The sequence below is a fragment of the Homo sapiens genome, chromosome 5 (assembly GCF_000001405.40).
Source record: "Homo sapiens chromosome 5, GRCh38.p14 Primary Assembly".
Classification (NCBI taxonomy): Eukaryota; Metazoa; Chordata; class Mammalia; order Primates; family Hominidae; genus Homo; species Homo sapiens.
The window spans coordinates 7902140-7913630 of NC_000005.10; the positions used below are offsets into that span (position 1 = coordinate 7902140).

Consider the following 11491-nt stretch of genomic DNA (forward strand, 5'->3'; position numbering starts at 1 on the left):
TTTGTGGATTATTCTAAAGTGAGTTACACTGTTGTACTGAAACAATCATTCTATTGAGTCATAAACTACCGGAAAAAAAAAGAATTTGGATTTCACTGCAAACTATATGACATATATGCTACACCCAACAAACTGGGCACCCATGTTGATTTCAAATACACTTGAACCATTTTAAAACATTGACCATGAACTAAGCCATAAAGGAAAACTCAGCAAATTACATGAAATAAAGCGTTGTTCACTGACTCTAATAAAAAACCAACTGCAAAAAAACCCACAAAGGCCACAGTGAAACATTTTAAACACATGCAGATGATTCATAGCTTAAATTATTAAATGTGCACATGGAATTCAGGCGAAACAATACCCAGGGGGAGGATTCATCTATTTCACAAAGTACTGTGCACCCAGTGACCAAAATAGTTAAAACACCATTGTTTTCAGGGAGCTTTACATTGAGGAGAGACATAAAATAAAAAATCCGTGAATTGCATGGGGTCTGAGAAGGTGATAAAGGCTATGGAGGATGACAAGTCAGAGTAAATGGGATGTGTGGCCTGCAGTCTTGTAGGGTTGGTGTGACTTCATACTCAGGGAGTCTCTGAAGGTAAACACTTGAAAAAGACAAAAGAGCCAGCCATCATGAGTATCTTGTGGAGGGAAGAGTCAGAACGAAGGCCCTGAGATAGAATGGTTACAGGAAATGTGTCTTAATCCAGACCCCAGGAGAGAGTTTTTGGATCTCACACAAGAAAGAGTTTGGGACGAATCCATAAAGTGAAAACAAGTTTATTAGAGAAGTAAAGAAACAAAAGAATGGCAACTACAGAGGGCAGCTCCAAGGGCTGCTGGTTGGCTATTTTTGCGGCTATTTCTTGATAATATGCTAGGGTGGATTATTCATGAGTTTTCCCAAGAAGACGGGGGGATTTCCCCAGAACTGAGGGTTCCTCCCACTTGTAGACCTTATAGGGTAACTTCTGGATGTTGCCATGGCATTTGTAAACTGTCATGGTGCTGCTAATCCATTATAATTAGCGTATGATGAGCAGTAAGGACTACCAGAGGTCACTTGTTGCCATCTTGACTTTGGCAGGTTTTGGCTGGCTTATTTACAGCGTCCTGTTTTATCAGCAGAGTCTTTACAACCTGTATCTTGTGATACCAGTCCTGCTGCCCTCCTATCATCCTGTGATTAAGAATGCCTAACCTCCTGGGAATGCAGCCCAGTAGGCCTCAGCCTCATTTTGCCTTGCCCCATTCAAGATGGAGTCACTCTAGTTCAAACGCCTGTGAGAGAACTGCCAGACAAGTTGGAACAGCAAGAAGGGCATTGGATATTGAGCAGTGACAAAGGGGGAAACTAGTAAGTGATGACGACAGGAGAGAAATGGGGAGGTCTGATAATGGTTTCAGATCGTCATAGGATTTTGGCTTTTACTGTGAATACAAATCCATTTGGTCAGTGTTAACAGTGGAAGGTATTTGAGTTACCAGCAGTGAATCTGTATGGGTCTGCAGCAACCTCAATTCTTGCCTCTAAAGAAAGAATTCAACTGAGGGGCATAAGGCAGAAAAAGACCAAGGCAAGTTTCAGAGCAGGAGTGGAAGTTTATTTAAAAGGCTGTAGAGCAGGGAAGAAAGGAAAGGAGAGAATGCTTGGAAGAGACCCAAGCTGGCACCAAGATCAAGTGCCCTGTTTAACAGTGATGCTAGGACTTTATAGGATGGCACTTTTCCCACGATTCTTTCCTTAGGGTGGGCTGCCCGCACACTCAGTGCCTCCCTTACCCTTGGGAAGTGAGCACCCGCTGTGTGCTTAGGAAGCTGTGCACATGCCCATTTTTAAAACTTAAACCACAGGCTTTATTCCGACTTGACTTTTCCCACCAACATTTTTCCATTCCAGAATTTCATCCAGGACATCACATTGCATTTCGTTTTTTGCCTCCTGAGTCTTCTCCAGTCTGTGACAGTTTCTCATCTTTTGTTGTTTTTCATGACCTTGAAGGCCCCTGGTCAGGTATTTTGTAGGAGGTTCCTCAATTTGGGTTTGTCTGAGGTTTAAACGCACAATTACACTGGGTTTCTGGGTTTTGAGGAGAGCACACTAGCAGTTTTTTTTTTTTCTCATCGTTTCATATCATGGAGTATATGGTATAATATGATTAATCACTAGGGATCTCAACCCTGATCTCTTTGGTAAGATGGTATGTGCCAGTTTCTCTACTATAAGGTTACTCTTTTTCCCTTTTCATATGACATTGTTTGGAAATGAGTCACTAAGTTCAGCCTACATTCAAAGGAAGAGAAATTAAGCTCCACCTCCTGGAGGGGTTACTATCTACATGTATAATTTGTAATTCTTTTGCAAGGAAAAGCTGTTCCTTCTCCCAATTTAGTTACTTATTTTATCATGTATTTCTGGAAGTATGGACTCATGGATATTTATTTAATACTTTGGGTTATAATATAATACTGTATTACTTATTTTATTGCTCAAATGATCATATGTGACGTCTCTCAGGGTGACTGTTGTGTTCCTTTGCCATGCTCTCCTTTTTTGTTGGGGAGGAGGGCCAAGCCATTTTACTAAGGAGAATGGAAAGGGAGACAAAGAAGCGCTGATGACAGTGAGATCTGACATCCTTGGCTGGGCCAGAATCTTAAAGGCTTTGCAGTTGCAGAACTATTCCTGTTTTTTAAAGTTTCACGTATGTATGAGTGCTGTTTATACATGATGTCTTGGAATATGTATCATTTGTTTCACTGTTTCAGCACTTCGTTTTTTTTGGTAGTCTAAAATGCTCCAGGTTGCCCTTGATTTTTACCTATCCCAGTGTTAAGAATGAACCATTTCTCCAGTAAGTCACAATTCCTTTTATCAGAGAACCCCTGACAACCACTTAGCTATTTTCCATGCTTATAGTTTTGCCTTTTCCAGACTGTGTGATACAACTGGAATTACACAACATTGAGCTTTTTGGGTCAGACTTATTTCACTTAGTGAAATATATTTAAGGTTAACCCATGTTGTTGTGTGAATTGATATCTGGTTCCTTTTTATTGCTCAGTACTATTCTGTTGTATGGATGTACAGTGGTTTATTTATCCATTCGTTTATTGAGGGAAATCTTGGTTGCCTCCAGTTTATGACAATTATGATTAAGCTGCTGTAAACATTTGCATACATATTTCTGCATGAATATAAGTTTTTAATTTACTTGGATAAATACATCAGAGTGGGATTTTTGGGTCGTATGCTAAGTTTTTCTTTTAATTTCTAAGAAACTGTCAAACTGTTTTCTAAAGTAGCTGTCTCATTTTACATTCCCATGAACAAGGAATGAGAGTTCATGGATTTGTTTTTGAGAGACCTTTTTGAAGAGTTCAGCATTGTTAGAGTTTGCTTTGGTGCAGTCCATGTCTCCAGTCCCTGTGCATTTAAACAGTAGATTCAAAATTAAAATGATAGCATAGAAATTATAAACAACACGAAGAAATACAAATGGAGTTACTTTAGTTCTGTTATTGTGTGTGTGACCACTTGAATTTTTCCTCATGATGACTTTTGTTTAAACATTTGGAAAACATTTATTTCTTTCAGTCTCACCTCATAGATGAAAAATGCTTCAGAATATAGTTATAACTGTGAAAAGACTGTTCCTGATGTTATGATTTGCTCACTGTGAAGCTTTTCATGCACTACAGACAAATGTTGGAAAGTCTGTCTCAACTTCAAGGGCAGTGAATTCTGAAAGTTAATGTGGACACAAGAGTTTCTTCTCAGATTTCCTCCTCTGCTGCATTTTTTTTTTGAGTTATCTTCTTTTCTGGTATGAAATTGTAAATCAAGTAAGTCAGATATAAAAATATTTGCAAACAGTCAAAATCAACTCTAAAAGTGATGTAGTGAAACTCAAGCTTTAAAATTGTTCCTTGAAGAGCAGCACACAAAAATTGTGTAGAAAATTATTAACTATGTAACAACAACAAAAAGGTCAATGACATTTAGACAGAAAAAAAAAAGAAATTTCTGGGAAGAATATTAGGGAAAAGAACAACAACTGCTGGCCTTGCAGCAGCAGAAGGAATTGCAGGGTGTGTTGAATATTTTGATTATTTCCACCAGGAACTAGATACTTGTAAAGCGGTGGATTAAGCATTCTCAAGTTCCTTAATGTTTAGCCCATTTTCTCATATTCTTTTAGCAGAGAAGAAAAACTTTAGAAGCTTTCACCCAGTGTAATAGAAACTTATGATGAATTTTCTGGTGAAAATATCTTAGGGGAATTTCTTCTATTGCAGAGATGTTTGAAAACTATTATAATCCATCCTGAAGAAAGAAAAACATGAACAGTATTTCAATTTCTGGAGCTTATTGTAAAATGTGATTTTTATGAATCTCTGAAAAACTCATCCTCGTACTTAAGACTTTTTCCAAGTCTTCATACATCTATGACTCCACATGAAAAAAACTTTTCAAAATTAAAATTTAAGAAGTTTTTCAATTCGAGTGAAGAAAGCTGATAAATTCTCTTAAATATCCATAGAATGTGAATATACAAAAATTAATTTTTGTAAATATGCAGAAGTTACAGATCAAAAGCAGATACTATAATATAATTCGCAGTGGTTTAAGACCAATATGTAGGTGTAAGTTTCCCTTGTTTTCCCAAAAAACACATTAGTGCAATTAAAAAGAATTTATCGCTTTTTGTCTTTAAAATTTTTTAAATTTATCCCAATAAATATAAATTTTGAGGGTATATCTGCTAATTTAATACCTTTATATAATTTGTAAAGATAAAATCACTGTAACTAGAATACCCATCACCTTAAATATTGGTCTTTTCTTTATGCTAGAAACATTCAAATTATTCCCTTCTGACTATTTTGAAATATTTAATAGATGATTGTAAACTATGCTAACCCTACTGATCTATCAATCACTAGGTTTTATTTATTCTAACAAATTGTATATTTGTCCCCATTAGTCAAACCTTTCTTCATCCTCCCCTTCCCTCTACCCTTCCCAGCCTCCAGTAATCACCAATCTACTCTATATCTTCATGAGATCCACTTTTTTTTAGCTCCCACATATGAGTGAGGCTATGCAATATTTTTTTAATTTCCTTCTTAATTTCTTCATAGACCCATTGGTCATTCAGAACCGTGTTGTTTAATTTCCATGCGTTTGTGTGCTTTCCAAAGTTTCTTTTGCTATTAATTTTTAGTTTTATCCTATTGTGGTCTGAAAAGATACTTGGTATGATTTATACATTTTTGAATTTGTTGATACTTTTTTTGTGGCTATTCTGGACTTTTGGGGTCTATTCTGGACCTCTACATGCCAGTGTTTTTATTTTTATGAATCTATTATAGATTTTGCATTGTAGTTACTATGTGGCTTACAAAAACCAACTTATACATGTAAAAATTTATTTCAAAGAGGTGAAAACTTATCTTAGATCACACAGAAAAGAATAGAAAAAATGAAAAAAGCCTATATACTTCATCCCCCAGTTTTGACTTTATATTGTCTCAATTTTCATATTTTTATACTGCCTATTTCTTAACAGGTTGCTGTATCTATTATTGTTTTGATAGACTTGTCTTTCTTTCTTCATACTAGAATTATGAATGGATTGCTCACCATAATTGCAGTGTTAGCATATTCTTGGTTTTCCGTGTACTTAATTCTATCAGTGTGTGTTATACTTCCAAATGTTTTCTTTTTTCACTGAAGTGTTTTTATTTATTTTAGATTGAAGAACACCTTTTAGCATTTCTTGTAAGATGGGTCTCTTGGTGAATTCTCTCAGCTTTTGTTTGAGATATCTCATTCATATTTGAAGGATTGCTTTGCTGGATACAGTATTCTTGAATGGAAGCGTTTTTTCTTTCAGAACTTTGAAAATGTCACCCCACTGTTTCCTGGTCTGTATAGCTTTCATTAAGAAGTCTGTTGCCCAATGAATTGGAGTTTCTTTGTACATTGTTGATTTTGTCTTGCTGCTTTTAGGATCCTCTCTTTTTCTTTGGCTTATGATAATTTGATTGTTATATGCCTTGGAGTAGTTGTATTTGGATTGAATCTGTTTTGCGTTTGCTGACCTTTCTAAAGCTGGATATTTATCCCTTTCTTAAGTTTTGGAAAGTTTTCTGTTATTATTTTTTTGAATAAGCTTTCTATCCCTTGCTCTTGCTCAACTCCCTCTTGAATACCACTAATTATTAGTTTTGATCTTTTCAGGTAATTTTCTATATCTTGTAGCCAATCTTCATTTGTTTTCATTATTTTTTCTCTTCTGACTATTTATTTTCAAATGGTCTGTCATAGAGCTCATTGATTATTTCTTCTCCTTGACCTGATCTGCTGAGAGCCTCTAATGAATTTTCCATTTCGGCAAATGAATTTCTCAGTTCCAAGATTTCTGTTTGACTTTTTATTATGATTATTTCAATCATTTAGTTAAATTTCTCTGATAAGTTTCTGAATTGCTTTTCTGTGTTATCCTGAATATCACTGAGTTTCCTTAAAACTGCCATTTTGAATTCTTGGTCAGAGAGTTCACATATCACCATTTCATTAGGGTCAGTTGCCAGTTCCTTGCTTTGTCCATTTAGGAGAGATCATGGTTCTCTGCTATTGTTTCTGTTGGATGTACATCTGTGTCTTTTCATTGAAGAATTAGTTATTTATTCTAGTCTTCTCTGACATTTTTGTTTTTTATTGGATATGTTTTCTTAGAGATCCTTTATAATTTACCTTTTGATATTTTTTCTTTTTTTCCCCTACTAGGTTGCTGCTCCCTTTTCAGCAGTAGATGACACCTTAAGACCAAGTTTGCCTTGGTTCTAGTAAGCAATCAGAGTACCACCTATCTCAAATCAGAAGGTTTCAAAGGGGATATCCCAGTAGTATGAGAAGGCTGGGGGTTCATGCCCAGAGGACCTGTGAAACAAACCTCTTACAGCATCATGCTACTGAAGAGCCACTCTGATTTAGTGTTTTAGTTGGCCAAATTACAGAGCAAAATTTTCAGGCCTAGGGATGGTAGTTCCACCTTCCCTCTTTGTCTCTGGCTGTTCTCAGGGATATTTCTCCCTTCAGACACTACTGATAGTTTCTGTGGGCAAAAGGGAAAGGTCTCCTACTAGGGTGCCCTGAATGGTGGGGAAGCTGATTGTCCACCTTGATGTCACTTTTTTCAGTGTAGAGACTGTATGTTGAGGGAAAATTTTCCACATGCTTTGTGATGGGCAGATTGGGTGGAGGGGCATTATGAATATGGAAGTCTGATTCCCTTACTGTCTGCTTAAAATTTGTTCAATTCTCTGTGATTCCAGGAACTGTCTCATTCTCATCTGAGTCCTGGAATACTACTGGTGATAATCTTGGCACTGTGTATTTGTTTCTGGGTTTCTGTGGGGAGGAGGTAATGAGGCCAACTTGTTTCTACACCACCATTTTGGAATGGGAAGCTTTCATTTAAGTTGTAATACTTATTTTACTTTTTATTTTTAACTGGAATGATATATACATAGATGAGGTTCAGTAAAACTTTTTTTTAACTGACTGTAAACATTTTTACTGACCGTGTTTTACTGACTGTGCTTTTTAATGACTGTGAACATTTTTACTGTGTTTATTTTCCACCATCATTAATATATGTTTCATTACATAATTACTACTGAAAAGAATTTTGTCACATAAGGGATGTGATAAACCATTATCTGCTTGGGTTTCAAATGTGTTATGGATAACACTGCTGAACCAAAGCATAACTTTTGAAAGAGGAAGTACATGGGATCATCATAATAAATAATACAGTGTCCTGAGTGATGAGCTTTCTATTATGCTACAGGAAGAATTTCATTAAAAATAATAATAGAAAAACATTTAAAAATTTTACCATTTTATTAACATTCTATATTTTTCTACTCCGTTAAAATGCAGAAGTCAGAAAATGGAACATTTCCCTTTCACTATTTCTGCCATTAAAAAAATAGTACATTTTCTTGATTGTTTGTCATCTTAAACTACCTTTATCCTTTTGCAAGGTAGACTCTTCAGTATCTTTTTTAATCACAACAGATTAGAATATATACGATGGTACTTCGGAATATATGAATTACATTTTAATTTCTGAATGTTTATCTTATTTAATGTCAAATATATATATGTGTGTGTGTGTGGGTGTGTATGTATAGTACTTGTATGGCTTAAGGCTTCAAATGCTACTCAAAATAGTATCCACACTAAATCATTTTCTCTGAAAACACTCCTTCCTGTGTTTTGAGCTGGGCTCTGGGTAAACAAAAAAAGGAGTAAAGCTTAATAATGTTTCCTGTATCTCCAGTCTGCTGGCCTTCTCGTTCAACCAAGAACTTTGATTTGCAGATTTGGTGTTAACAGCCTTTGTAACATTGTCCTCGTTTTGAGGAAATTATTAAATCTTTATCAACCTTTGTAATTGGGTAGGCATGTTAACCTAAATGGATAGGAATTTTGATAGTGGCTCATTAGTTTATTTAATAAAAGTGTTTAAAGCTATATCTGACACAAAATAAGTATTTAAAATGTATGAGTATTTATGCTACTGTTACTGCTATTACTATTACTACTATCACTTCTACAAATGTTCCTGGAGAAACACCAGGTTGATGGGTGTGCTCTGAATTTTGGAGAAGGATTTAATGTACAACAAGGTCATTTTGATGTGTTTTTAGTTCTCCTGGCAAGTGCCCAGCTCATCACATGGTTCCAGAGCAGACATCTGTCTCCATGGTCCTTTATTCAGTAGCAGTTAACTCAGCACCTTTCACAGCTTTAATTCATTTTCTAAAGGTTAACAGGCAAAGAACAGGTTCAGAAAAGGTCTAAATCATGTTTTTATTTTTCCAGGTGGATGACTTTAACAAAAGATCATGACTCCATTGTGTATAAGAGCAGTTAAATTCTGCCTTTGTTTCAGAACATATCTGTAGGTTATTAAGTTTTTCTTTTGCTTCAGTATTTTCAAGGGGAAGTGAGAAAGTTGTAATTTCTTTGTAAGAAGTTTCTCTGTAAAATATGTGAGCTACTGTCACAAGACCCAGTACAGCTGAGGGACTTAGCCGCTGTATCAGTCTGTTTTCACGCTGCTGATAAAGGCATACCCCAGACTGGGCAATTTACAATTTACAAAAGAAAGAGGTTTATTGGACTCACATTTCCACATGGCTGGGGAGGCCTCATGATCATGGTGGAAGGTGAAAGGCACTTCTCACATGATGGCAGACAAGAGAAGAGAGCTTATGCAGGGAAACTCCCCTTTTTAAAACAATCAGATCTTGTGAGACTTACTCACTATCATGAGAATAGCATGGGAAAGACCCGTCCCCATGATTCAATTACCTCCCACAGGATCCTTCCCACAACACATGGGAATTCTGGGAGCTACATTTCAAGATGCGATTTGGGTTGGGACACAGCCAAACCATATCATTCCGACCCTGACCCCTCCCAAATCTCATGTCCTCACATTTCAAAACCAATCATGCCTTCCCAAGAGTCCCTCAAAGTCTTAACTCATTTCACTGTTAAAAGTCTACCATCCAAAGCCTCATCTGAGACAAGGTAAGTCCCTTCTGACTATGAGCCAGTAAAACCAAAAGCAAGTTAGTTACTTCCTAGATAAAATGAGGGTACAGGTGTGGATAAATGCAGCCATTCCAAATGGGAGAAATTGGCCAAAACAAAGGGGCTACAGGCCCCATGCAAGTCCGAAATCCAACAGGGTAGTCAAATCTTAAAGCTCCAAAATGATCTCCTTTGACTCCATGTCTCACATCCGGGTCACTCTGATGCAAGAAGTGGGTTCCCATAGTCTTGAGCAGCTCTGCCCCTGTGGCTTTACAGGGTACAGCCTCCCTCCTGGCTGCTTTCATGGGAGGGTTGAGTCTGTGACTTTTCCAGGCACATGGTGCAAGCTGTCGGTGGATATACCATTCTGGGGTCTGGAGGATGGTAGCCCTCTTCTCACAGCTCCACTAGGCAGCACCCCAGTGGGGACTCTCTGTGGGGGCTCTCACTCCACATTTCCCTTCTGCACTGCCCTAGCAGAGGTTTTCCATGAACGTCCTGCCACTGCAGCAAACTTGTTCCCGGACATTCAGGCATTTTCATACATCCTCTGAAAACTAGGTAGAGGTTCCCAAACCTTAATTCTTGACTTCTGTGCACCCACAGGCTCAACACCATGTGGAAGCTGCCAAGATTTGGGGCTTACACCCTCTGAAGCCACAGCCCAAGCTGTACCTTGGCCTCTTTTAGTCATGACTGGCGTGGCTGGGATGCAGGGCGCCAAGTTCTTAGGCTGCAGACAGCAGAGAGACCCTGGGCCTGGGCCCACAAAACCATTTTTACCTTCTAGGCCTCTGGGACTGTGATGGGAGGGGCTGTTGTAAAGGTCTCTGAGATGCCCTGGAAACATCTTCCCCATTGATTAACATTGGGCTTCTCATTACATATGCAAATTTCTGCAGCCTGCTTGAATTTCTTCTCAGAAAATGGGATTTTCTTTTCTATCACATTGGTCAGGCTGCAAATTTTCTGAACTTTTATGCTCTGTTGCTCTTTTAAAACTGAATGCCTTTAACAGCACCCAGGTCACCTCTTGAATGCTTTGCTGCTTAGACATTTCTTCTGCCAGATACCTGAATCATCTCTCTCAAATTCAAAGTTCCACAAACCTCTTAGGGCAGGAGCAAAGTGCTGCTAGTCTCTTTGCTAAAACATAACAAGAGTCACCTTTGCTTCAGTTCCCAACAAGTTCCTAATCTCTGTCTGAGACCACCTCAGCCTGGATTTCATTGTCCATATCATTATCAGCATTTTGGTCAATGCCATTCAACAAGTCTCTAGGGAGTTCCAAACTTTCCCACATTTTCCTGTCTTCTGAGCCCTCGAAACTGTTCCAACCTCTACCCAGTTCCAAAGTTGCTTCCACATTTTTGGGTTTCTTTGCAGCAGCACCATGCTCTACCAGTACCAATTTACTGTATTAGTCCATTTTCATGCTTGTGATAAAGACATACTTGAGACTTGGCGATTTACAAAAGAAAGAATTTTATTGAACTCACAGTTTCACGTACCTGGGGAGGCCTCACAGTCATGGCAGAAGGTGAAAGGCATGTCTTACATGGCAGCAGACAAGAGAAGAGAGCTTGTGCAGGGAAATGCCCCTTTTTAAAACCATCAGATCTTGTGAGACTTATTCACTATCACAAGAATAGCATGGGAAAGATGCATCTGCATAATTTAATTGCCTCCCACTGGGTCCCTCCTGCAACACGTGGGAATTATGGGCGATACAATTCAAGATGGGATTTGGGTGGGGACACAGCCAAACCATATCAGCCACATACACAAATTGTTTTCCCATTTGCACTCGTACTTAATAGCAACTACACATAGTTAATCTGTAGTTGTAGCAAATTATCA

At 37.8% G+C, this 11491-nt stretch overlaps 1 long non-coding RNA gene across 1 annotated transcript; it reads left to right on the forward strand.

The window, feature by feature from the left end:
* Positions 1611 to 8560, forward strand: LOC124900936 (uncharacterized). Its single transcript, XR_007058683.1, has 2 exons — positions 1611 to 2714; positions 3608 to 8560. It is a non-coding gene; the product is annotated as an uncharacterized LOC124900936 (long non-coding RNA).
* Positions 8561 to 11491: the final 2931 nt, after the last annotated feature.